This window comes from Homo sapiens, chromosome 4 (genome assembly GCF_000001405.40).
Source record: "Homo sapiens chromosome 4, GRCh38.p14 Primary Assembly".
NCBI lineage: Eukaryota > Metazoa > Chordata > Mammalia > Primates > Hominidae > Homo > Homo sapiens.
In genome coordinates, this window is record NC_000004.12 from 2,871,146 (window position 1) to 2,899,072 (window position 27,927).

General features: G+C 43.0%; 1 protein-coding gene across 24 annotated transcripts in view, besides 2 other annotated features; it reads left to right on the forward strand.

Moving 5' to 3' along the window:
* The window catches only part of ADD1 (adducin 1), an 86,219-nt gene that overhangs the window by 27,302 nt on the left and 30,990 nt on the right, over window positions 1–27,927 (forward strand). For all 24 annotated transcript variants that reach the window (NM_001354757.2, NM_001354754.2, NM_001354762.2 and 21 more), the window contains 7 exons: window positions 4,751–4,965; window positions 10,753–10,915; window positions 13,370–13,521; window positions 22,868–22,948; window positions 23,437–23,586; window positions 27,039–27,182; window positions 27,288–27,386. In NM_001354757.2, the coding sequence (NP_001341686.1) occupies window positions 4,771–4,965; window positions 10,753–10,915; window positions 13,370–13,521; window positions 22,868–22,948; window positions 23,437–23,586; window positions 27,039–27,182; window positions 27,288–27,386 (984 nt within the window). In that variant the 5' untranslated portion in view covers window positions 4,751–4,770. The remainder of the gene's footprint in view (window positions 1–4,750; window positions 4,966–10,752; window positions 10,916–13,369; window positions 13,522–22,867; window positions 22,949–23,436; window positions 23,587–27,038; window positions 27,183–27,287; window positions 27,387–27,927) is intronic.
* Window positions 3,471–3,998: an enhancer, noted in NCBI's record as "H3K4me1 hESC enhancer chr4:2876343-2876870 (GRCh37/hg19 assembly coordinates)". NCBI's record gives its function as "activates a minimal SCP1, AML or CMV promoter by ChIP-STARR-seq in primed H9 embryonic stem cells {active_cell/tissue: H9 hESC(primed)}" and the evidence as "EXISTENCE:reporter gene assay evidence [ECO:0000049][PMID:30033119]".
* Window positions 3,999–4,524: an enhancer, noted in NCBI's record as "H3K4me1 hESC enhancer chr4:2876871-2877396 (GRCh37/hg19 assembly coordinates)". NCBI's record gives its function as "activates a minimal SCP1, AML or CMV promoter by ChIP-STARR-seq in primed H9 embryonic stem cells {active_cell/tissue: H9 hESC(primed)}" and the evidence as "EXISTENCE:reporter gene assay evidence [ECO:0000049][PMID:30033119]".

Genomic DNA, 27,927 nt, shown 5'->3' on the forward strand with positions numbered 1-27,927 from the left:
TATTTTTAGTAGAGATGGGGTTTCACCGTGTTAGCCAGGATGGTCTCGATCTCCTCACCTCGTGATCCACCCTCCTCGGCCTCCCAAAGTGCTGTGATTACAGGCGTGAGCCACCGTGCCTGGCCAACAGATGACATTTTCTAACCAGGCACATGCCATCCAATTTACCTGTCGATCATACCATTGTATAAAGCAGCAGAACTGAAGGGGAAATATGATTGTTAAACACACTGAATTGCTTTTATGTCATTTGAGATAGTTGGTGTAAGTGTCTTGACTTTTTATATTTGGAAACATTAAATAAAAACATAAATTTTTTAAAAAGGGATGTTAAGATAGCTGTTCATCCTGATCTTAGTAGTATCAGTCTGAAAAAGCATGCTGAAATATCTTCATCTGAAGGCCGGCAGAGACCAGCTCATGTAAGGTCTGGAGGTGCTTTCTTCTGAGAGCAAGAAGAATCACGGAGCGTTTCAAACACATACAAAATAGACAGCACGGTGTGATGAGTCCTGCTCTAACCTTCATCCAGTGTCAGTGGTTAGCTCATGGCTAGTCTTATGTAACTTCATTTCCCCTTGCCCCCATATAAGTTTTAGGCACATTTCAGATGTCATTTTATCCAGAAACATTTCTGTATCTAATATAATCCTAGTAATACTACACCTAAAATGTAAAACTAATTTCTTAATACCATCAAAATCTAGCTAGTGTTCAAATTTCTAGTTGTCTCAAATGTCACTTTTAGATTTTTATTTTACAGTTTGTTTCAATCAGGATCCTACTAAGGTCCACATATTAGTTCTCAGATTTTAAGCAGAGGAGTGAGTGACATGATCTGACTTACATTAAAACTCTCTATGGCCAAGTTTTAGAGAATGGATTGTTGTGGGGGTTGTTAAGAGACTGGAAGTAGAGAAACCAATTAGGAGGCCGTTGAGTGTCCAGGAAGTGAGTGATGACAACTTGGATTTGAGTGACATCTGGGGGATGGGAGATGTGGAGGAAGCAGATGTCACTTGGGCAGGCCATACTTATTTGTCACGGTTCATCCAGATTTTTGTTTTCTGTTGTCTGTGTTTATTTGAAAATATTGTTCCCAAAGATTTCATTAATTTAGCTATCAATATATTGTTGATGGTGAAATCTTAAAATGTATTACATAAGTAAAATCAAAGCAACATTATAGAATATTGAGATAGAGAAACATTCATCCATACTTTAATCAACTTACTCAAATTTATTCCAGCTTATTTGCCATTATATCATTTTGCCAGTGTATAATTATGGCATTACATAATAGAATAAGAAATATAGTTTGCCACTTAATATGTTTTATACTCTTTTATCTGTATTATGCTAAAGAGTCTCTGTAGTTACATGATATTGTATTGAGCAGATTTTAATGTTTATGTTACATTTATTTATTTGAGTCAGGGTCTTGCTCTGTCACCCATGCTGGAGTGTAGTGGTGCCATCATGGCTCTCTGCAGCCTTGACCTCCCAGGTCGAGTGATCCTCTCTCCTCGGACTCCTGAGTAGCTGAGACTACAGGCGTGTGCCATCACTCCTGGCTAATTTTTTTGATTTTTTTTGTTGAGATGCAGTCTTTACTATGTAAGCTAGACAGCTTGGAACTCCTGGGCTCAAGTGATCTTCCCACATCAGCTTCTCAAAGTGCTGGGATTACAGGCATGAGCCACCACGCCTGACCTGTTCCTACTTTTAAAATTATTTTATTTTAAATTAGTTTAAATTTATTCTAAGATACTATGAAAAATGTTCCAGAAGTTAGTTTTTTGCATGTTTTTCCCTTTCTCTCTCTTTTTTTAACTTTTTGATTAAATAATATTATTATTATTTTTTAAGACGGAGTCTTACTCTGTTGTTCAGGCTGGAGTGCAGCGGCATGACTCAGCTCACTGCAAACTTTGCCTCCCAGGTTGAAGTAATTCTTGTGCCTCAGCCTCCTGAGTAGCTGAGATTACAGGTGCGTGCCCCCACGCCCCGCTAATTTTTGCATTTTTATTAGAAACAGGGTGTCACCATGTTGCCCAGGCTGGTTTCAATCTCCTGAGCTCAGGCATCCACTTGCCTCGGCCTCCCAAAGTGCCAGGATTACAGACATGTGCCACTGTACCCAGCAAATAATAACTTCTCTGTAGAGATTTTACTTGAAAACTAAGTTGATGAAACCTGCAGTCATAATTGATAAAAATGAAGGACAGGTTTGTACTGCAAAGTAGAATTATGCTTAATCTTGATTACTGGGCTCAGAATGTGTATACTTTCATTTTGATTTACATTTATAGACTTCCTTATTGAAGGAATGGAGCATGTATATACCTGGCCTGCAGTGTTTATCTTATCCCATTCACACAGCAATTTGTAACTAGGGGAAAGTAATACCTGCCTTATCTTAAATATGATGGTTTTACAAAGATTCCTGTCTTTCACTGTCTTCTGGGAACCAGGAAATAGCTATAGTTACCTCTAAAATATACCCTCATATCCTTTTTTACCGATGAAAATGGCTTATAATTGGGACTCATAATGATTTTCTTTGGTCTTTTATTGTTTTTGAAACACGAAGCAGAACATTTTTATTATTGGCTCAGAATGTTCAGCTTTAATTACATCTAATGAGGAAATATTGCCAGATAACTCTTATTGTTTTGTTCTTTGGTCATTCTTTTGGAAGGTTTACAATAAATAGATTGGGTAACCAGAATAAATTAAACAATTTAAAGGATATAAATAGAGAAGAATAAGTTTCAGAGATTCCACTTAGGCTGGGCTCTTGCCTGTAATCCCAGCACTGTGGAAGTCTGAGGCAGGAGGATCACTTGAACCTAGGAGTTTGAGACCAGCCCGGGCAACATAGTGAGACCTCATCTCTACCAAAGAACTAAAAAAAAAATAGCCAGGTGTGGTGATGTGGGCCTGTAGTCTCAGCTATGCAGGAGGCTGAGGCAGTGGGATGGCTTGAGAGCCCACAAGTTCCAGGCTGTAGTGAGCTATGATTGCACCACTGCATTCCAGCCTGGGTGGCAGAATAAGGCTCTGTCTCAAAAACAAAGAGAAAAAAGATTCCACTGAGGTCATTAGTTCGTTTATTCTATGTTGATGTTTAGTCCCCCAATTGTTTTCATGTTTTGCCTTTAAGTTCTCGAAGTAGTGGCTGGGGGCGGTGGCTAACGCCTATAATCCCAGCACTTTGAGAGGCCTAGGCGGGCGGATCACCTGAGGTCAGGAGTTCGAGACCAGCCTGGCCAACATGGTGAAACGCCGTCTCTACTAAAAATACAAAAATTACCCGGGTGTGGTGGCACGTGCCTGTAATCAAAGCTACTCGGGAGGCTGAGGCAGGAGAATCACTTGAACCTGGGAGGCGGAGGTTTCAGTGAGCCGAGATCATGCCACTGCACTCCAGAATGAGCGACAGAGTGAGACTGTCTCAAAAAAAAAAAAAAAGAAAGAAATACTGCCACTTTAAGCATATTTTTATCTTATCTTTACATTTAGAACAGAAATATCAAATTGATCTTTTTCTTAAAAAAAAACACTAATTTCTTCAACTGATTCTTTGGTTATTGGTTCCACAATAAAAATATCTTTTTTGCATAATAAACTCTACTTTATAGGCTTGTTATCCAAAGTGCGGTTCAAGTTCAGCAGCATTGGTATCACTTGGGAATTGATGAGACATGCAGAATTTCAGGCCCCACTCCAGACCTAATGAATCTTAATTTGTGTATTAATTCAATTCCCAGGTGGTTCATATGCACATTTGAAAGCTAACAGGGCGTGGTGGCTCATGCCTGTGATCCCAGCACTTTGGAAGGCCAAGGTGAGAGGATTGCTTGAGGCCAGGAGTTTGAGACCAGCCTCTGCAACTCAGGGATACCCCCATCTCTACAAAATTTTTAAAAAATTCGCCGGGCATGGCGGTGCACGCTGATAGTCCCAGCTGCTTGGGAGGCTTAGGTGGAAGGATCACTTGAGCCTGGGAGGTTGAGGTTGCAGTGAGCTGTGACTGGGCCACTGCCCTCCAGCCTCGGTGGCAGAACAAGACCCTGTTCCCCTCCCCCCGAGAAAAGAATGTAATGTCAGTAGCCATATTCACAGAATTTTAAATTTGAGCCATCTTGGCATGTTAGGTTATTAACAAACTGAGCATCTTGACCTCAAATTGCTGGTACCTGCCATTGTTCTTTTAACCAGAAAGGAGCTGTTAGGGAGGAACATTTACCATTTTGTGAGTTATGTGTGAGTGGCTTCTCTTCTGTTGATCTGTTTGTGGGATCCTTTGCAAAACCACTGCTGGTACCTTATGGGAAAAAAAATCAGAAATCAAATTTCTTTTGGAATAAACTGTGCTGTTCTTAGCAGATCTTGTCTGTGTGGAACAAATCATGTCTGTAAAGAATCACGTGGTCAAAAGTTTAATATTTAGTTCTTTTTGGATTTGTCAGAGGACTTAATTGCTTTGTTAGATTGTTGTCTTGTTCTCCTCTTTGGAACAATGGCTAGGACAAAACACAGCATTGGTTAGTGGGAGGGTGGGAGGTGGTTGATCAGCCATGTGCCTCTGAGGCCACAAAGAAGCCTCACAGGTCATGGTTTCCACTGTCAGTTGGTCATTACATCCTCCTGTTGAAGATTGTGTTTACCAAGCTCATGTGCTCATCATGAAACACTGTTAGACATTGATTTGAAAACAATAATTTCTTTTATTTTGATTCTGTAGGAACCTAGAAAGATTGTACAATGAATGGTGATTCTCGTGCTGCGGTGGTGACCTCACCACCCCCGACCACAGCCCCTCACAAGGAGAGGTACTTCGACCGAGTAGATGAGAACAACCCAGAGTACTTGAGGGAGAGGAACATGGCACCAGACCTTCGCCAGGACTTCAACATGATGGAGCAAAAGAAGAGGGTGTCCATGATTCTGCAAAGCCCTGTGAGAAGAGAAGTCTTTTCTCTGACCAGATGTCATCTTTCCTTTTCTAATACTTCAGGTCTTATGCCCTGTTGTATGAGTGGCATAGTTCATTGATCTTATCACAGGAAATCAGTGCCTTGAGTATACGTATATGGTTGTTGAAAGAATTCAGTTCAGTTCATGTTATCAGACATCATAAATGAAAAATCTTCAGTGTCGTAAAGGATAGGAAGTGTTAATTTCTCCTTTTTACTCTTGTGACTTTTCTAGAGGGTCCTTATATATTGGGGCAATTTTTAAATTACAATTAAAAAAATACCTAGCTTAGGCTGGGTGCGTCGGCTCAAGCTTGTAATCCCAGCACTTTGGGAGGCCGAGGTGGGTGGATCACTTGAGGTCAGAAGTTCGAGACCAGGCTGGCCATCACGGTGAAACCCTGTCTCCATTAAAAATACAAAAATTGGCCAGGCGCGGTGGCTCACGCCTGTAATCCCAGCACTTTGGGAGGCCAACATGGGTGGATCACGAGGTCAGGAGATCGAGACCATCCTGGCTAACACGGTGAAAACCCATCTCTACTAAAAATACAAAAAAAAATTAGCCAGGCGTAGTGGCGGGCGCCTGTAGTCCCAGCAACTCGGGAGGCTGAGGCAGGAGAATGGCGTGAACCCGGGAGGCGGAGCTTGCAGTAAGCCGAGATCATGCCACTGCACTTCAGCCTGGGTGACATAGAGAGACTCCGTCCCAAAAAAAAAAAAAATTAGCCGGGCATAGTGGCGCATGCCTGTAATCCCAGCTACTCGGGCGGCTGAGGCAGGAGAATCACTTGAAACCGGGAGGCGGAGGTTGCAGTGAGCGGAGATTGTGCTACTGCACTCCAGCCTGGGCAACAGAGCGAGACTCTGTCTCAAAAAAAAAAAAAAAAAACCCTAGCTCAGTCTCCTGGGTGTATGGTCAGCCTTAACAGTACCTGCTAATTGATTGATACCTTTAGTTAGAGTCAGCATTTTGAGCCACAGTCATGGCCAACTGAGTGTTTTCCAGATTGCACCTTTAATCAGGTCGTTGTATCTGCGTAGTTTTCTCATGTTGCTGCTGCTGCCTTTGTGTGTGCATCATCCTTTTTTGTCCCTTCTTCTTCTGATTTGTTCTTACTGTGCCCCTTCATACCAGGGGAGTGTCATTTGGCAGAAGTTTATTGATTTTCTTAAAAAAAACAAAAGATGTTGATTGTCTCTTATGTGCTGTTTAAGGAACTGGGCATTTAGCAGTAAACTAGACATACAAGGCCTTTAGTAGATTTTGTTTAGTTGTTGTTACTGAGTTATAACTTACATAAAGTACACAAATCTTAAGTATATAGCTTGGTGAATTTTGACATAAATGTTGCTTCTGTAACTACCCAGATCAAGTCTTGGACTTTACATTCTAGTCGAAGGAAATAAACAATAAAGAACAAGCAGGAGGGCAATGCAGAAAGCAGTAGGATGATTAGATTAAGTGTGACTGTGGTCAGAAAGGCTGTTCTCAGGAGGGAAGGTTTAATCTGAACTCAATGACAGGAAGGAGCCAGTCTTTCAAGAATCAAGAGGGGGCCGGGTGTGGGTGCTTGGCTGGGCATGGTGGCCCATGCCTGTAATCCCAGCACTTTGGGAGGCCAAGGCAGTGGATCACTTGAGCCCAGGAGTTCGAGACCAGCCTGGGGAATCCGCATCTCTACCAAAAATATAAAAATTAGCTAGGTGTGGTGGCATGCCCCGGCAATCCCAGCTACTCAGGAGGCTGAGGTGGGAGGATCACTCAAGCTGAGGCTGCAGTGAGTTGTGATCGTGCCAGTGCACTCCAGCCTGGGTGACAGAGTGAGACCCTGTCTCCAAAAAAAAAGGAGACGTGTTCCCAGCTGAGGAACCAGCTAACATGAAATTCCTAGGATAGGGATGGGCTTGATGAGCCCACAGAGGCAGAAGGCAGCCAGTGTGGTTCGGCCTGGGAGTGGCAGAGTGAGGTTGGAGAGAGAGGAGGGAGCAGATCCTGGAAGGCTGTGTATGCTGAGATTGAGAGTTTCCATTGCATTCTGTGTGTGGCAGAATCATTGGAGGGCTGCAGACAGGGAAAGGACAAACGGTATTTTAAAGAAAATTATTCTGGGTTTGGTTTAGAGAGAAAATTGGCTGGGGCAAGAGAAAAAGCTGTTGTCCAAATGAGAGATCATGGCTGCTTGGGCCAAGGTGGCGTAGTAGAGGTAGGAAGAAGTAGATTTGTATGGCTTTCATTTTGAAGGTAGTGTGAATAGGACTTGCTGATGGATGGGGTGGAAGAAGTGAAAGGGAAAAAAAGAATCAGGATAGCACCGAGACTTTTGGCTTGAGCAGTTTACTTACGTAAAAACAACAAGAAGCTAAGTAAAAATGACTCGGGATAGTTGAGTCATTTTTGAGTTGAAACTGATAGCACCTAGTGTGTGCCAGGCATTGTTCTAGGCACTGGGGATGCAGAGATAAGAGAGTAAAGTTCCTGCCCACAGGTTGTTTAGAACACAGTAAGCATCAAGGCTGGGCGCGGTGGCTCATACCTGTAGTCCCAGTGCTTTGGGAGGCTGAGATAGGAGGATCACTTGAGTTTAGGAGTTTGAGGCTGCAGTGAGCTATGATTGCACCACTGCACTCCAGCCTGGGGCTTGAGGTTTTGCCAGATGGTTTGGTAGAGTTGGAGATGTTAGCAAGAAAGGGATTACAATGTAATCATTACAATGGATCTAAGCCAGTGAGGGAGTTCAGAACAGGGGAGGTGAGCCAAGGTGAGAAGGTGTTAGGGTGATGAATGGATGGAAGAAAGTGTGAGCTGGATGCTAGGAGGGGGTGGTTGCAGGGCACATACTTGGCTTTGGGATTGAAGAGAGACATGGTTACTAGGAATGAGCAGGTGTAGTGCTGACCATGGACGTGGGAGCCTGAGATGGGTTGGATGACAGGGTCTTTGGAGGAGAGGAGGTCCGAAAGCTGAGAGGTATGAGGGTCCCAAACTGAGGGTATGGATGTTGAACCAGCAAGAGTTATGATCAAAGTAGCACACACAAGGTCCTTAGGCTAGTGACAGCTGGCTGGAGCCAAACGTTAAGATCCAGATTGGTGGCTCCAGGCCCTCACTCAGGACTAAGCTCAGCTCTGTGCCACGTGTCCTTTCTGCACTTACAGGTCGTCTGAAATGCTCTTTATGCATAGGGCTCCTGTACTGTGGTTTTCTTCTTTTTGTGTCTTCCTTACCAAGCTTTAAGTTTCTGGATGGCAAGGACCATATTATTTATCAGTATGTATATCCTTAGTGTCTAAAACAGCGCCTGGTACTTAGTAGTGTGTGTCGAATTGAGCTTTCCCTAGATCTGTATGTGGATTTGAAAACCATTGAAATAGATCCTTTGAATTTTCAGACTGAGGGCTCCTGAAGGCAAGGAGCTTGTTTAATTTAGCTTTTGCTTTCCCTGTGACCAGCACTGTCTGTGATGTTCAGGAGATGCCATCTGTATCTCTTACTCTCTCTCTTTTTTTTTTGAGATGGAGTCTCACTCTGTCGCCCAGGCTGGAGTGCAGTGGCGTGATCTCGGCTCACTGTAGCCTCCACCTCCCGAGTTCAAATGATTCTCCTGCCTCAGCCTCCTGAGTAGCTGGGATTACAAGCGTGCACCACCATACCCAGCTCGCTGCAACCTCCTCCTACTGGCTTCAAGTGATTCTCCTGCCTCAGCCTCCCAAGTAGCTAGGATTACAGGCACAAGCTTCCATGCCCAGCTAACTTTTGTATTTTTAGTAGAGATGAGGTTTTACCATGTTGGCCAGGCTGGTCTCGAACTCCTGACCTCAAGTGATCCGCCTCCCTTGGCCTCCCAAAGTGCTGGAAGTTACAGGTGGAAGCCACTGCGCCTGCCCTATCTTTATTTGCACATATCTCCCTTTCTCTCTCATTGCATTGTGCTTTGATGACAAAGATGGCTAAATAATCACCATGTTTTGTTTTTTTCCTTTGTTTATTTCTTGCTTGCAGTCAGAGTACCTCTCAGCTTTTCCCTTCCTCACGGATGACTACAAAATATGATCTGCAACATTATTTGCCATGGTTTGGTAAATAGGGGGTCCTCAGAGGGCTCTTGACAGACATTCTATTCTACCCTTAATTAACAGCAATACATCTGTCTGTTGTGTGCTTCCCCCAAGTGATAGGTACTCTTAGACTGTCCCTTGGCAATCTCCTGCAATATGTTTTCAGCTCAAGCAGTGACAAACTAGAAGTAAATTTGATGTGGATTAACATCCAGTGAACTTAAATTTTCATACCGGATATCATTTATAATTGTTTGACAAGATATTTCTTTCTTTCTTTTTTTTTTTTTTTTTTTTTTTTTTTTTTGAGACGGAGTCTCGCTCTATCTCCCAAGCTGGAGTGCAGTGGCGGGATCTCAGCTCACTGCAAGCTCCGCCTCCCGGGTTCACACCATTGTCCTGCCTCAGCCTCCCGAGTAGCTGGGACTACAGGCGCCCACCACCACGCCTGGCTTATTTTTTGTATTTTTAGTAGAGACGGGGTTTCACCATGTTAGCCAGGATGGTCTCGATCTCCTGACCTCGTGATCCGCCCGCCTCGGCCTCCCAAAGTGCTGGGATTACAGGCGTGAGCCACCATGCCTGGCCGATATTTATTTCTTTGCAGGGTATGTGAAAAAATTATTTTAGTGCAGGTTGGGAATATAAATTATCTGTATTGTTATAATAGTGATTTTCTATTAAAATCACCATCAATCCAATTGCACTTTTTTTTGCCTGATTTAGTATTATTTGATAAAGGATGGATGGTTAGGGTTTTTTCCACATTTAAAAGTAATTTGAAAAGTATTTTGAAGAAAGTACTGCAAAGGATAAAGTAGAATATGAAAAATTACTAATAATCCTATCACTAAAAGGATTACAATGAACATTTTGATGTATTTACTTTTTTTTTTTTTTTTTTTTTTTGAGACAAAGTCTTGCTCTGTTGCCCAGGCTGGAGTGCAATGGCCCAATCTCGGCTCACTGCAACCTCTGCCTCCTGGGTTCAAGCAATTCTCCTTTCTCAGCCTCCCAAGTAGCTGGGATTACAGGCGCCCACCACCACGCCTGGCTAATTTTTTACATTTTTAGTAGAGATGGGGTTTCACCATGTTGGCCAGGCTGGTCTCGAACTCCTGACCTCAGGTGATCCACCTGCCTTCGCCTCCTAAAGTGCTGGGATTCCAGGCATGAGCCACTGTGCCCAGCCAATGTATTTACTTTTAATCTTTTTCTATGTTTAGGTATGTATTTGCTGTAATAAGGACTGGTTATACTGCTTGATAACATTGTCACTCAAACATATATCAAGAGCAATTTTATGCCATTTAAGTTTTTTTAGCTTTTCATGTTGAATGCATGCGTAGAATTCCCAGTGTATTTGATCAGTCCTCTGTTGATTGAAACGTAGGATGTTTTTCCCTTTTATCAATAATACTGGAATGAACATACAAATGAATCAGTCTTTGAGCACTTCCTTGAATGTTTCCTTAAAATAGATTCCTAAGAGTAGAATTCCTGTTCAGAGTTTTAAGCTTTTATTGTATTAAATTACTTTCTAGAAAAGAATGTACCAGTTTATATTCTCAGCAGTAATGTGTGAGAATATCCGTTTGCCTTTCCAGCACTGGATGAAAACAAAAATTGGTCTATGTGATAGCTACTTCTGACCCCCTGCCCAAGGAACAGAAAATAAATGGTATCTCAGTGTTTTAATATTTTTTATTAGGCTTTCTGTGAAGAATTGGAATCAATGATACAGGAGCAATTTAAGAAGGGGAAGAACCCCACAGGCCTATTGGCATTACAGCAGATTGCAGATTTTATGACCACGAATGTACCAAATGTCTACCCAGCAGCTCCGCAAGGAGGGATGGCTGCCTTAAACATGAGTGAGTAGTTCCTGATTTTTAATATATGTTCTGTAGTTTTCAGGTAAAATTTCCTGAAGATTGCTCATGTGAAATAAGTGGGCATTTAACTGTATAACATAACAGAGTTGAGTATTTTGAAAATTAATGTGTTTTCGTTAGTCATAGTAAAAGATAGGCTGGAATTCTGAAATCATCTTGAATGTTGCAGACTCCTCTTTTCTTAGCCAGTGAGACTTTATTTCCGAGGCAGATGACTTTTTATGTGTCTTCCCAGCCCCTATGTAGATTAAAATAAACTAATAGAAATAATGCTGTGGAGTAGCACATCAGTTTTGCCTGGCCAGCATTTCTTACCTAGCATTCTTCACTGCTGTGTCCCAACTAGTGAGAAAGAGAAATTCTAAAAGAAAAGCCAGAGGAAAAGTACTGGATGGGTGAATGTGAGCAAAGAATGGTCAGCTGTGCAAGAATGCAGCTTTGCCATGGCAATTGAGTTTGCAAATGTTAACATGACAAAGCATCAACTAATCTGAGCCACTGCATATTGTACCTTGGATTAGTCTCTGATGGGTCTGGTTGGATAGTCAAATCTGATTGCCCGAAATAAGGTACTGGTTTCTGTTAGATCTGCTGACATTTGCTATTTACCTGTCTGCTCTGTGGTATTCTTAGAAGTTGAATAGCATTCAACAGATCTGATATATATTGTAATTAATGTCTACAGAATATTAAGAGTCACATTTAATCCATAGCTCAAACCTCCATCCTGAAATCACATGGCCACCACTAGGAAAGTTTTCATGTGGATTCCGTTTTTTTTTGTTGTTGTTGTTTTTGAGACGGCGTCTTGCTCTGTCTCCCAGGCTGGAGTGCAGTGGCATGATCTCAGCTCCCTGCAAACTACCACCTCCCAGGTTCAAGCTGTTCTCCTGCCTCAGCCTCCTGAATAGCTGAGATTACAGGCACACACCACCACACCTGGCTAATTTTTGTTATTTTTAGTAGAGACGGATTTCGCCATGTTGGCCATGCTGGTCTCAAACTCCTGACCACAAGTGATCCACTCGCCTCAGCCTCCCTAAGTGCTGGGATTACGAACATGAGCCACCACACCTGGCCCATTTCGTCTGTATTAATTAGCAAGAATGTTCTGTCAGGAGAAACTTCCCTTCAGTTCTTTTGGTTACCTGGTGATACAGTTTGTGTAGGAAAGGCAGGATCCCTTTCCGAAATAATAAGTTGGTTTCCAATCATCCTTCAGTGATGAACAATTAGTTTTTTTTTTTTTTAGTATTATTTGAATTTATGATTTAAACATAGTCAGTGTGTTTCACATCATTGCAGTTATTATCCGGATTTGTTGAGAACTTTCCTTCTGAATGGATGTTGAACTTTGTGAAATGCTTCTTTTCTTTCTGTTAAAATGATCCCTTAGTCTTTCTTCTTTAGTTTGTTATGGTGAATTATGTTTTTTTGTTTGTTTGTTTGTTTTGTGTATTTATTTATTTAGAGATAAGTTCTTGCTCTTTCACCCATGCTGGAGTACAGTGGCACGATCACAGCTCACTACAACCTTGAACTCCTAGGCTTAAGGGATCCTCCATGCCTTCCATGCCTGGCTAATTTTTCTCTTTTCTTTTTTTTTTTGAGATGGAGTCTTGCTCTGTCGCCTGGGCTGCAGTGCAGTGGCGTGATCTTGGCTCACTGTAAGCTCCGCCTCCTGGGTTCACGCCATTCTCCTGCCTCAGCCTCCCAAGTAGCTGGGAGTATAGGCGCCCACCACCACGTCTGGCTAATTTTTTGTATTTTTGGTATAGACAGGGTTTCACCTTGTTAGCCAGGATGGTCTCGATCTCCTGACCTTGTGATCCTCCCGCCTCGGCCTCCCAAAGTGCTGGGATTACAGGCGTGAGCCACCGCGCCCAGCCCATATTGGTTGTTTCTATCTCCTTTCTTTTGTTAAGTCTGGCTAGAGGTTTATCTTATTTTATTATTTGTATTTTATTTTTAAACTTCTCAGAGATTCAACTTTTGCTTTAATCAGAAAGCCTTAAAAACACTTTTCTTCTCTAATGTATACGTTTAATGCTGTAAATTTCCTTTTAAGCTTGCTTTACTGCACGCCACAAATTTGGCTATCTTTTTGTTATTGATTTCTAACTTAATTGTGTAAGTATTGGAAAACAGTCATTATGAAATTGTCTTTGAAGTTTTCAAGACTTTATTGTCTAATGTGGAAGATAAATATCTCAGAACCATTAGTATTTGATTTACATTTGATAAGAAATGTTAATATTTGAGGCTTTTTGGTAAGTCTCGCTTTGTTGCCTTGGCTATTCACAGCTGCTATCATAAGCACTACAGCCTCAAACTCATGGCTTCAAGTGATCCTCCTGCCTTAGCCTTCTGAGTAACTAGGACTACAGGCGTATACCACTGCACCTGGCTGAGTTTTGTTTTTCTTTATTTCAGGTCTTGGTATGGTGACTCCTGTGAACGATCTTAGAGGATCTGATTCTATTGCGTATGACAAAGGAGAGAAGTTATTACGGTGTAAATTGGCAGCGTTTTATAGACTAGCAGATCTCTTTGGGTGGTCTCAGCTTATCTACAATCATATCACAGTGAGTATTAAATGGGCTAGTAACTGAACGATAAATGAAATATTTTGTGTCTGGCACCACCTCTTTCCATTTAGGAGAAGAGGGAAGCAGGCTGAGCTTCAGTAAGTCTTGGAATACCTCTTCTGATTCCTGACTACAGAGTGTAATAACCTGAGAATCAGCCAGTTTGGGTTAAAAGTTACAGGAACAGCAGTTCTTGAAAATTTCTTTCTTGCGTGCTAACCTAATAAAACAACTAAGTGTTTACCAGATTATATGCAGTTTCTAAAATTATTTTTATGCTTAAAAACCTAAGAATGATGATGTTTTCTTTCTTAGTCTGACCAAAGCCTTCCGTCTCTCAAACTTATTTCTTCAGCTACTCTAGTTTTAACTATTTTTCAACATTATTAGGATCTCTTTTCCTTCATTCTGGGTATCTGCTTTCTCTGGACCAAGCGCTGTTCTAACTGTGGTTGTGTCAGTGGACAACATGAGTCCTTCCCTTGTGGACAGTCACTTCTTCATCCCAATCCATTAGCCTATTCTTCACTCCCTATTTTGTCCATCTTGTATTTCATAGTCCCTCATTTCAGCAATACTCTGCCAATCCTGTACTCTCCCTCCCAGCTTCTGAGTAGCGAAATCCTGCTGTGGAAGTCCTCCCACCAGAGCCCATTACCTTTCTCCATAGATTCAGAACCCAAATCTCAAATGGGCCAATGACTTAGCCTGGCAACCATAACTCATCTCTCTTACAACCTTACTAATATTTAAGCCTTCTCTACTATCTTTGAGACTCCTGACCTCCTTCTTCCACCAAATGACCTCATCATGTCACAGAAAAAATGGGTACCCTTACTGACATTTGTAGCCATTCTGTACTCTTGACCACCTGTTATAATGTCTTGCCTTCTGCCTGTGGCCAGACTTTGCTCACCTGGCTTGGAATTCCACCCTTCCTGCCTTCTTTTTTTTTTTTGAGACAGAGACTTGCTCTGTTGCCCAGGCTGGAGTGCAGTGGTGCAATCTCGGCTCACTGCAAGCTCCGCCTCCCGGGTTCACGCCATTCTCCTGCCTCAGCCTCCCGAGTAGCTGGGACTACAGGCGCCCGCCACCACGCCTGGCTAATTTTTTTGTATTTTTAGTAGAGACGGGGTTTCACCGTGTTAGCCAGGATGGTCTCGATCTCCTGACCTTGTGATCCGCCCGCCTTGGCCTCCCAAAGTGCTGGGATTACAGGCGTGAGCCACCCTGCCCGGCCCCTTCCTGCCTTGTTAGATTCACAGTGCATTGCCAGGGTTCTTCTGTTCCTTCACTCTTTTGTAGAGATAGCTTCTTCCTTTGAACTGCTTCCTTCCTTTGGTTTTGAAACTTGTTCCAGTCTTCTGTTTTTTTCATGTAATTTCTTTTAAAGGATATTTTAAATTGTTAATACAGTGCCTGCTTTTTGTATCAAGTGTACCTTATGCAGATGTCTAAAGAAAAAGTAATTCCACCAATACTTCCATCTCTCTTGAGGCAAGCAGTGTGTGCGCTGTTCACGTTGCTGAAATGTTTCCTCCATACTCACACACACATGGGTTTTTCTGCACATGGACTCATAACCAGCGGTGCTTCGTTAAGCTCCATTCTGGACTCAGAGGAATGCTAAGCCTCTTGAGGTGACGGTCTGGAGCTCACCTTGTGATTAGTGTGTTGTGCCTCTGGGACTTGATATTGGTCTCTGCCAGAGAGACTGAGTTGCCTTCTATCCATCTGTTCTTGTTTCCGCTTAAATGAACTTTTCAAAATGTAAGCCTTACCATGTCATGCTCCTGTGTGCGGCACGGTCACTCTGTGTAGAATGTCATCGCTGCTTTATTCCCCTGTAGCAGTTACCCCCATTCATTCTGTATGTTTAGCTGTTGCTGTCCCTCTCTGCCCACAGGAATATAAATTCCACAGGGAGAGCGTCTGTTGTGGTCCCTGCTGTGGCCCCAGGACCCGTGGCAAAGAGTAGGCATGCAGTAAACTTAGGTGAAAAACTGAATGAAACCCCCGGCTGAACTGAAATTACCTCAGTGAAATTGTGAACAAGAGCTCGCTGGGACCTTTTGACATTTGATTGGTGGGTCCAGTTAGCCTAGCACAAATGCCAGCTCCCTTCCTGGTGCCTGCAGGGAAATTGCTGGCCTCTGTCATCTAATTATACTTGACAGAATGCTGTGGTGGAGATTAGTGCTAAGTGGTTGCCTGAAGATCAGTGCGGTGAAAATGTTACAGCTGTGATTGGAAACGTAACCCTAACTGTGATAACAGCTTCACCTTCTTCGCAGGTTTTAAAGTGCTGTTTGCCTAGTCCTATTTTGAATGCTGATTAAATAAGTTTGAATTGGTTAAATTGCTTGTTTTCTCCTCCTTTAATTGTTTAAGAATTGGCAAAATTAAAAAAGTGTTTTCTGTAAATTATCTCCTTGGGGCTTAATACCGAGTAAAAAGAAATGCAAGTTACCTAAAATGTTTCCTATGTCTTATAAACTAGAACTAGAGAATCTTTAAGGAAGAAAGGTTTTGGTTTATTTTGTTTTACTATTATGGCATCCATTTCTTATTTACTATCTAGGTATGGTATAGACGCTTAACAGAAAAGCAAATACAGTGTCAACAAAAAGTGACAGCAGGTCATTCTGCCCTTTCTTTGAAAGGGGGTCATAGGGATTTTCTGCTAAAGGGATTTAAAATTGCTAACAGGTGTTAGAAGATTGGAGATGATTGTCTGAAATAGATCTTTAAGATTGCATTGGATTTGGAGAAGTGTTTGTGGGGGCTGGGGGGAGGGGGACAAGACGGGGTGGCCCAGTTAGCACAGTGGACTGGGCTTCCTCTCTCGGTGGCACTTAGCTGATGGCTTGGCCTGCCCATTCTGATGTCAGTGGAATGCTGTCAAGGCTTTGCACCTGCAGAACCTGGCAGGTGCTTGTTCAACTCCATTCTGGATTCCAGAGAATGCTAAGCCTCTGAGGTGATGGTCTGGACCCACCTTTGTGACCAGTGCCCTGTGCTTCAGGGACGTGATAGTGGTCTCCTCTGGAGGTACTGAATTGGGTACTGCATTGGTCTGCAACAGGAGAGTCTCATTCTTCATACACAGAGAAGGGGCAGTACATGTGTGGGAAGAGACACAGGGAGAGCAGGGCTGGTCTGACGGGGAGGGACAACTGCAGAGGAAACTGACTTCAAAATATCCTTCTCTATTTTTACTTGATGTTTGTAATTTTGCACTTTCTCCTTTTTGCTTTAGATTCAGAGAATTGAATGTTTTAAGCCTCTAAAATTAAAGTATGTATTAATAGATCTGTTAGTTAAGCTTACAGTTGGAAATAAATCTTAAAATAAGTAAAAGAAGGAAACATTATTAATTACAGCGTTATTATTATTATTATTATTTTTGAGACAGGGTCTCACTCTGTTACCCAGGCTGGAGTGCAGTGGTGGAATCTCGGCTCACTGCAACCTCTGCCGCCTCGGTTCAAGTGATCCTCCTGCCTCAGCCTCCCAAGTAGCAGGAACAGGCATGTGCCACCATGCGCAGGTGTGCACCACCATGCCACTAGCTGATTTTAGTATTTTTAGTAGAGATGGGGTTTCACCATGCTGGCCAGCCTGGGCTCAAACTCCTGGCCTCAAGCGATCCGCCTGCCTCGGCCTCCCAAAGTGCTGGGATTACAGGTGTGAGCCACTGTGCCCGGCCCAGCATTATTTGTAATAATGAAATTATTATTATTATTATTATTATTATTATTATTTTAGGCAGAGTCTCACTCTGTGGCCCAGGCTGGAGTGCAGTGGCATGATCTCGGCTCACTCAACCTCTACCTTCCGAGTTCAGGCAATTCTGCTGCCTCAGCCTCCCAAGTAGCAGGGATTACAGGCACCTGCCACCACACACAGCTAATTTTTTTGTATTTTTACTAGAGATGGGGTTTCACCATGTTGGCCAGGCTGGTTTTGAACTCCTGACCTCAAGTGATCCGCCCACCTCAGCCTCCCAAAGTGCTAGGGTTATAGGTGTGAGCCACTGCACCCAGCCAATAATGAAAAATTTTAAGAGTCCTTAAGTATTCAGCAGTAGATAGGAAATGGCTCAGTTATTCAATATCAATTTGAGCAAATGTTGTATACTATGAAAAACAATTACAAAGATCATGTAGAACAAGTGAAATATGAAAAATGAAAGGTATCAGAAATGAGAAAATATGAAATATATACTGTTTACAGCTATATGAAATATGTACATATATATATGGAGAGAGAGAGAGAGACAAAAGAGAAATGACTAACAAAAATGGTTGTGTAATACTTTTTAAATGTGGAACCTGACAGCATGCTTCTAAAATTTAGATGGAAGAGCGGAAGGCCAAGAATAGCTAAGACACTCCTGAAGAACAGCTAGGCAAGGAGATTTTTCCTACCAGATGTCAAACTTAATATAAAGTGGTAATTAATATAGTGTCCTTTGGGCAAAGGAAGATGCAGAGGGATCAGTAGGGCCAAATTGCATGCATTGAAACAGACATGCTGTAGTCGGCATTGCAGCTCAGCGGGGTGGGGGATGGACTTGGCAATGATGGCTGCTGGGATGCTTGGGTAGAAAAGTCACAAGTGGAAATAATTATATGAGACTTCTATACTATACATAATCACAAAGCAATCCCAGTGAATTAAAGATTAAATGTGAAATGCAATACTTTAACAATTTTAGGACTAATATAGGTGAAAATCACTGGCCTTGAACCTCTGGCCTAAGGAGAGATGTCTTATGACACAAAAATCACTTATCGTAAAAGAAAAGATGGATAAATTTGTCTACATTTAAAGTAGACAAACTTTTTCCTTATTAAAAGATACCATAGGCCAGGCGTGGTGGCTTATGCCTGTAATCCCAGCATTTTGGGAGGCTGAGGTGGGTGGATCACCTGACGTCAGGAGTTCGAGACCAGCCTGACCAACATGATGAAACCCATCTCTACCAAAAAATACAAAAAATTTGGCCAGGCATGGTGGTGTGCCTGTAGTCCCAGTTGCTGGGGAGGCTGAGACAGGAGAATTGCTTGAACCCTAGAGGCAGAGGTTGCAGTGAGCTGAGATTGTGCCACTGCACTCCAGCCTGGGTGGCAGAGTGAGACCCTGTCTCAGAAAAAAGGTAAAAGATACCATAAAGACAGTAATAATAAAAGCCGCAACCTGGAAGGTTTGTCCCACATGTAGCCAATAGAAATTAATATCTGGAGCTGGGTGCAGTGGCTCACGCCTGTAATCTCTGCACTTTGGGAGACCAAGGTGGGCACATCCCTTGAGGCCAGGAGTTTGAGACCAGTGTGGCCAACATGTGAAACTCCGTCTCTGCTAAAAATGCAAAATTAGCCAGGCGTGGTGGCGCGCACCTGTAATCCCAGCTACTGGGAGGCTGAGACAGGAATCACTTGAACTTGGGAGGTGAAGGTTGCAGTGAGCTGAAATTGTGCCACTGCACTCCAGCCTGGGCGACAGAGTGAGACTCCGTCTCAAAAAAAAAAAAAAAGAAATAATATCTGGAATAGATAACTGTCAGTAAGAAAAAGACAAACCAGTATAAAATGGACAAAAGGCAAGAAAGGAATTTCACAGAAGGGGAAATAAGAATGCCTTATAAAAATATGAAAAGTTACTGAAATCATTTGGTCACCAGGAAATTATAAATTCATATCACAATGAAATGTCATTTTATAGACATCAGATTTCTTTTGTTGTTGTTGTTTGAGACAGAGTCTCACCCTGTCACCCAGGCTAGAGTCAGTGGCACGATCTCTGCTCACTGCAAGCTCTGCCTCCCAGGTTCACGCCATTCTCCTGCCTCAACCTCCCGAGTAGCTGGGAGTACAGTCGCCCGCCACCACACCCGGCTAATTTTTTTTGTATTTTTAGTAGAGACAGGGTTTCACCATTTTAGCCAGGATGGTCTCCATCTCCTGACCTTGTGATCCGCCCTTCTCGCCCTCCCAAAGTGCTGGGATTACAGGCATGAGCCACCATGCCTGGCCACTAGAATTATTGTATTTCTTAAGCTAATTGATAGATACATGGATGTTTGATTTATTATTATACTTACATTGTCTTATATCTTGTAAATACCCTTGTATGTGTGTTTTTAAAATAAAGGCTTTTAAAGGAAGCAAAACAAAAATCTGAAACTTAATCTTTTCTAATTTTCATCCTTAATTTTCTTCATTCCAACCAGTATATACACAGATCCCTTGTTTTATGTTTTGTTTTGACTGAGCTTAGCAATTAGACAACTGCTTACTTTTGTGTTAAATAGTTTAACAAGTCAGGATGGGCTGGATGCAGTGACTCCCACCTGTAATCCCAACACTTTTGGAGGCCAAGGCAGGAGGATCACTTGAGCTCAAAAGTTTGGGACCAGCTTGGGCAACATAGTGAAACCCTGTCTCTATTTTAAAAAAAAAAAAAAAGGTCAGCATGCTTTTTAAGATAAAGGAGGCTGGGCACGGTGGCTCATGCCTCTAATCCCAGCATTTTTGGAGGCCAGAAAAAGTGGGTGCATCACTTGAGGCCAGGAGTTTGAGACCAGCCTGGCTGACGTGGTGAAACCCCGTCTCTACTAAAAATACAGAAATTAGCTGGGCATGGTGTGCCTGTAATCCCAGCTACTCAGAGGCTGAGGCAGGAGAATCGCTTGAACCCGGGAGGCAAAGGTTGTAGTGAGCTGAGATCGTGCCCCTGCACTCCAGCCTGGGTGACAGAGTGAGCTTTGTCTCAAAAAAAGAAAAAAAAAAGATAAAGGAGCTGACTTAAGGAAATAGAAAGCAAGGCTGACTCAGCATTGCAAAGAAGTGGGTCATAGGGATTTATAGAGACTGGGTGTTGTAGTTCACTATCCATGTAAATGACCCCTAGCAATGATTTAGTGTTGCTGCTCCCACTACCACTAATGATGGTAATAATGGGTAGATGCCGTTTATTGCGAGCTTTATTGTAGACACAGGCTCTTCCATCCCCACTTAGTCATGAGGAAAACAGGAGCTCAGGGTGCCCAGAACACCATAGCCAGTTCTTGGCAGAGCTAGGATTTGAACTTAAGTGTTATCTGACTTTGGATTTTGTGCTCTTAACCCTGTTATGCTCTACAGAGACAATCAGGTGAGTTTAGCCTACAGATCATATAAGGGGAGACAGGATAGATTTAGATGTCTGAAAATTAAATTGTAGAAGGGGGTTAGAATTTGTTCTGTGTTATATACTAGAGGCAGTGGTGACAAACACAGGAAAACAGATTTCTTCTCAGTGCTAGAAAGAACGTTTTAATCCTTAAGTCTCTCCAGCATCTGTTTATGACAGTGCTTCAGCGCCCATGACACGGTGGGCTCTCAGCGAGTAGGTGGTCATTTCTTTCCTGAATGAATAAATGAGGGAGGCTGGGGTAAGCATCCTCATCACTGAAACTAAAACAAGCAGACCCTGGGTATGCTTCTGTTTGGGCCACTACAGAAGAAATCACTATGTGGCTTAGGAAGCTGGACTAAACACCTTAAGTCCTTTTCAACAAACACTCAGCTCCAACTGTCCGACCCTAGTTAGGATTCTGGGTTCCTTAACCCATTAGTAAATGTATTTGAACTTAATCTTTAGGAAGCCTTTTGAGCCTATACTAAAATCATTATAAAAACTAGAATGAATATTTTTGAGGGCAGGTCTCTTCTTTTTTACTGCTGTATTCCTAGTGTCTAGCATATGCTTGATGCATAGTGTAAACCAAATCTGCATTGAATTAATTACTGTGGGAGAAAAACATACTGTGGAAGAGGCAAACCAATGAAGGCAATGAGGATGTGGTGTTGTAGAGACTTAAGAAATGGATTATGGTGGGCACAGTGGCTCACACCTGTAAGCCTAGCATTTTGAGAGGCTGAGGCGGGAGGATTGCTTGAGTTCAGGAGTTCAAGACCAGCCTGGGCAACTTAGTGAGACCCCATCTCTACCAAAATAAAAAATAAAAAAATAGCCAGGCTTAATGACTTGTGCCTGTAGTCCCAGCTACTCAGGAGGCTGAGATGTGTGGATCACTTGAGTCAGGAGGTTGAGGCTGCAGTGAGCATGATTGCGCCACTGCATTACAGCCTGGGTAACAGAGTGAGACCCCATCTCAAAAACAAAAATAAAAAACAAAAAAAAAAACAGATCAAGTAGTAAGGGTACAAGTTGGTTTTAATTATTTTTTTATTTTTTATTTATTTTATTTATTTTTTTGAGACAGGGTCTTGTCTGTCACCCAGGCTAGAGTGCAGTGGCACGATCATGACTGACTGCAACCTCTGCCTCCTGGGTTCCAAGTGATTCTCGTGCCTCAGCCACCTGAGTGTCTGGGACTACAGGTGCCTGCCACCACAGGTGGCCAAGTTGTCTATTTTATTTTATTTTTTTAGTAGAGACGGGGTTTTGCCATGTTGACCAGGCTGGTCCCAAACTCCTGACCTCAAGTGATCCACCCATCTTCGCCTCCCAAAGTGCTGGGATTACAGGCTTGAGCCACAGTGCCCAGCCTAGGTGTTAAGTATTTTTAAAAATTCATTTTGTCAGTGCCTACTGCAGCAAGGAAAAAAAAAAAAGGACATTCTGTTTGACTTTTTAAAAGTAAGTTTTGGCCAGGCACAGTGGCTCATGCCTGTAATCCCAGCACTTTGAGAGGCCAAGGAAGGCAGATCCAGTTGAGCCCAGGAGTTTTTGAGACCAGCCTGGCCAGCATGGCGAAACCCTGTCTCTATACAAAATACAATAATTAGCTGGTCACAGTATTGTGCGCTTGTAGTCCCAGCTACTTGGGAGGCTGAGGTGGGAGGATCATTTGAGCCTGGGAGGCAGAAGTTGCAGTGAGCCATGATCACGCCACTGCACTCCAGCCTGGGCAACAGAGTGAGACCCTGTCTCAAAAAAAAAAAAAGAATAATGTAAGTTTTGGTTTTCATTATTATATCCCTGAGGAGTGACACCTTTTTGCCTTTGACACTAGTAGCCACCAGAAAGTGTGACAGAGTAACCCAGCAGTAATTTATTGACCTGTCAGAAGGCTAGTGTGGAACTGTTTTTTCCCTCTATAAAGTCAGTTATCATGAACGTGAGCAAGAAGCACTTCATATATGTGATAAATTAGTACAGTAGAATAATGGAAAGCTTCCAGTACCCCTTGGCTTCGTGACAGGCATTGTGCATGGACGCTTCCCTGCATAGCTCACTCAGTGTTCTGAACAAACCCGTGAATTTGTAGCCTGAAAGAGATGCAAATAATTTCACTTGGATCTTTGAGCTAATTCAGTCATTTTCCCCACAGACCAGAGTGAACTCCGAGCAGGAACACTTCCTCATTGTCCCTTTTGGGCTTCTTTACAGTGAAGTGACTGCATCCAGTTTGGTAAGAATGTCCTTCTCTTTGGCAGCTTGTATGTGCAGGTCATGTTAGGTCATTCAACATCTTCAGATCAGCTAAATATGTAAAACCCAAGAAACAAGAAAGAGCCTATGTTTTATGTGGTGTGTTCAGTTAGAGAAAAACCTTTGAGAGAAGTTACAAATATTGTAATCTTGAGTTTGAATAGTTTCTAGTTAGGGTAATTTGAAGTCCTCTTGGGCTGGGGTGCAGTGGCTCATGCCTGTAATTCCAGTACTTAAGTTCGAGACCAGCCTGGCCAACATGGCGGTACCCCAACTCTACAAAAAAATACCAAAATTAGCTGGGCATGGTGGTGGGAGGATTGTTTGAACCTGGGAGGTGGAGGCCGAGGTCGCACCACTGCACTCCAGCCTGGGCGACAGAGCCAGACCCTATCAAAAAAAAAAAAAAAAAGAAAAGAAAAAATGAAGTCCTCTTGGTATTTTACATTTTTATTTTTTTATTTTCAGGTTAAGATCAATCTACAAGGAGATATAGTAGATCGTGGAAGCACTAATCTGGGAGTGAATCAGGCCGGCTTCACCTTACACTCTGCAATTTATGCTGCACGCCCGGACGTGAAGTGCGTCGTGCACATTCACACCCCAGCAGGGGCTGCGGTGAGTGGCTGCCCTGGTAGCATCTCAAGGTCTAAAGCTGCTGAGTGAAAGGCACTGCACGTTTCCTCTGAATTGCCCTTGTTGTTTATAGTCAGTAAAACTAATTTTGTTGAATATAAAAAAAAAGGTGTACCACTAAGTTTGACTTTCTTAAAATAATTTTTTTTCCTTTTAAGGGGTCCATATATCCCATTTAATTTGGAAAAACATGTAATAAGTCTGAAAATGCCTATTAGATTTAACAATTGGCCGGGCATGGTGGCTCATGCCTGTAATCACACTACTTCGGGATGCTGAGGCGGGAGGATTGCTGAGCCCAGGAGTTGGAGACCAGCCTGGGCAACATAGTGAGACCCCGTCTGTACAAAAAAAATTAAAAAATTAACCAGTGTGGTGCGTGCCTGTACTTCCAGCTACTTGGGAGGCTGAGGTGGGAAGATTTTGAGCCAAGGATGTTGAGGTTTCAGTGAGCTATGGTTGTGCCTCTGAACTCTAGCCTGGGTGACAGAGTAAGACCTTGTCTCAAAAAAATAAAATAACAGTAAACAAAACAAAGTCATAGAGAATTGAGGGAGAGGTAAGATTTCAGGGTGTTGAAGACTGTGGGGACGTGCAAAATGACATCAGTAAGCAGGCATCTCGTTCGAGAAGAATGGGAAAAGAAGGAGAGGGCAAGCTGGGGTGGTGGGTGGAGGGTGCTGTGGGCTCGGGGAAGGGTGTTTGGGGTGTGGGAGACTTGAACGTGAGGACAGTCTGTGGGGACGAGCTGGGGAAAGGGAGAGGTTGAGGCCTAGAAACCAACCTGTCCAGCTCCCCGCAGCCAACCAGCAGGACCCAGGCTGGATTGTGACGGGGAAGAAGAAAAGGAGCGGCTGGGAGAGGAGACACAGGCAGTGCAGGCTGTTACGAGGCTTAGCTTCCAAGCTGCTCAGGAACCCTCCTCCTCAGCTGTGCACCAAGCCTTACCCCTTCTGGTGTGAATGGGCCACCCTGACAAAGCCCCAGACCCCTCCGTATGAAAGTGCACGTGCAGGCTATCTGCTCAATGTCATGTGAAAGCACAGTACTTGAGAAGTATGCTTTTTATCACCAATTTTATATAAGGACTTTTGGGGTTTATTGTACAACAGATGACCTTATTGATTCAGTAATGCTGTATTTTTTTTTTTTTTTTGAGACGGAGTCTCGCTCTGTCATCCAGGCTGGAGTGCAATGGCGCGATCGCGGCTCACTGCAAGCTCTGCCTCCCGGGTTCACGCCATTCTCCTGCCTCAGCCTCCCAAGTAGCTGGGACTACAGGTGCCCGCCACCTCGCATGGCTAATTTTTTGTATTTTTAGTAGAGGCTGGGTTTCACCGTGTTAGCCAGAATGGTCTTGATCGCCTGACCTCGTGATCCGCCCGCTTCGGCCTCCCAAAGTGCTGGGATTACAGGTGTGAGCCACTGCACCCGGCCCAGTAATGCTGTATTTTAATTGATCTTGGTTTTTTTTTTGGAGATGGAGTCTTGCTGTGTCACGCAGGCTGAAGTGCAGTGGCGCACTCTCAACTCACTGCAACCTCTGCCCCTCGGGTTCAAGCAGTTCTCTTGACTCAGCCTCCCAAGTAGCTGGGACTACAGGTGCACACCACCATTCCCGGCTAATTTTTGTATTTTTAGTCAAGATGGGGTTTCATCATGTTGGCCTGGCTGGTCTCGAACTCCTGACCTCAAGTGATCTGCCCACCTTGGCCTCCCAAAGTGCTGGGATTACAGGCATGAGCCACCACGTCCGACCTGATATTGATGTTTTAATGTCATGTGTGTTGGATTATTTGGATGAACATTACCTCTGGTTTGTTTCACTCTGAACATATGGTTCTTATGTCAACATCGTGGTTTTATTAGATACATCATTGTGTGAATGATGTGATTTTTTTTTTCCTGAAAGAATGCATGTCACTCCAGCCACTAAAATGTTTATGGATTTTAAAGAACTATTAAAGGTACCTTTGACAGTATGGTTATGAACAGCTATCACGTAACGTGTTTTTGTTTGTTTTTCTGAGACAGGATCTCACCCTGTCTCCCAGGCTGGAGTGCAGTGGCACGATCTTGGCTCACTGCAACTTGCATCTCCTGGGTTCAAACGATTCTCCCACCTCAGCCTCCTGAGTAGGTGGGACTACAGGTGCACGCCACTGCACCTGGCTAATGTTTTTATTTTTTGGTAGAGACGGGGTTTCACCATGTTGACCAGGCTGGTCTCGAACTCCTGGCTTCAAGTGATCTGCCCACCTTGGCTCCCAAATGACTGGGTTTATGGGCATGAGCCACTGTGCCCAGCCTCTTTTTAAAATTATCAAAATAATTTTGCTTGGTAAGGAAATTTCTTCTTGTATGAGAGCTGATACTTTGGAAGGAGTTAAATGTGGTATTGTCTTTTTAGGTTAACTTTTCTCTATGGAATTGATAAAGATAGTTTTTGAATCTTTGAAGCCTGTTACTTTAGGGTCATAATGTTGCTGTCTATAGGTCTTGTCTTTAGAAGACCTTCAAAAATGGCATATTCTGAGGCCACTCTGGGGAATTTTAGGAAACTTAAGGACTCTATGAACACTTAGATTTTTCTCTTTGAGAGTCAATTTTACTTAAATACATGTAGAGAAATTATATAAGAAATTATATATAAATTGTATATATATAATTACATTATATATATACAAACTTGTATAAATTTGCTTTCACCTAATTTTTAGGTGTTTCAATGTTATCTACAACCTAAGATAAAAAGTACAGAAAAACTTTAGAGCACTTGGAAAACCTCCTCCTTTTTTTTTTTTTTTTTTTTTTTTAGGAGATGAGGGTCTCATATGTTGCCCAGGCTGGCTTTGAATTCCTGGGTTCAGGATTCCTCCTGCCTCAGCCTCTAGAGTAGCCTCTTGACTACAGGTGCATGCCATCACATCTGGCTAATTTAAAAATATTATTTGTAGAGGCGGGGGTCTCACTTTGTTGCCCAGGCTGACGTCGAACTTCCAGGCTCAAGTGATCCACCTGCCTTAGCCTCTTGAGTGTTGGGATTACAGGTGTGAGCCACCATACCTGATGGGAAGCCTTCTTTTGAAATGCACTGAGTCCTCAGAGGAGTCTGTGGTCTGCTCCTTGCACTAGATGCAGTGCTCATTGTATAATTAAATCCAGGTTTACATAGCACTTATATCAGTGGGAAAAAGTCTAGAAAGATGTGGATTTTCTTTTGAGGCTCTCCCAGTTTAGGGGTAGTTTTGTTTTTAAGTGTGAATTGTTAGCACTGGAAACCAAGTTTGTCTTAAGTTCATAGATTGATTTTCAAGAAGAGGACAAAAACATTTCCCTTCCCATTTTATTTCTGTGAGGAAAGCATTTACCATATCATCAGTCATTGTGTAACCCCAGGTTTTCCTTCTTCATGGCGACCATTTGGTCTCTAGGTCTCTGCAATGAAATGTGGCCTCTTGCCAATCTCCCCGGAGGCGCTTTCCCTTGGAGAAGTGGCTTATCATGACTACCATGGCATTCTGGTTGATGAAGAGGAAAAAGTTTTGATTCAGAAAAATCTGGGGCCTAAAAGCAAGGTCAGTAGGCATCTAATCTGGTATTTAAATTACAGCAGAAAGAAGAATAAAGCAAAGGACCAGTCTTCCTGCCCAGCTCCACAGAGCATTCATGCTTCCCCTCAGGTTCTTATTCTCCGGAACCATGGGCTCGTGTCAGTTGGAGAGAGCGTTGAGGAGGCCTTCTATTACATCCATAACCTTGTGGTTGCCTGTGAGATCCAGGTAGGGGACAGCCATTCCAGTCACTCTGCAGTTTATTTAGATGTGTCTGGGGTTCACATAGATTTTTTTTTGATACTTATCGAGTAGGAGAGGAGTCTTTGAGCAATCTCTTTGCCAAAGATAAGCTCATGGATTTGGGACTTGATCAGGACAAATGCTGTTTCACTGATTGAAGTTGGCAAAGGATTACTGGGCTTTTCATTTCTAATTTTTAAATTTTCAAATATGTCAGTCACTACCATTTATGGAGTACTGGTGTGTATAGGCCTGGCATCAGGTGCTTAGTGTGTGTCATCGCATATGTGATGTCACGTGACCCCCACAGTACTCTTTGAAAAAGCAGGTATACAGAAGTAGAGACTCAGAGACTTGCCTGCAGCTTACAGCTGTGAGTTCCCCTCCGCTCCGTCAGCCGTTAGTTCACGTTCTCCCCTCTGCTTCTTGACTTATGTCTGTGGCGTAGTGAAGTCCCAAGTCCTTTGTAGGATCCTGAAAGGTGCTGTGTTTTCTCATTTCTCTGCCAACTTTGGTGCCCAATATT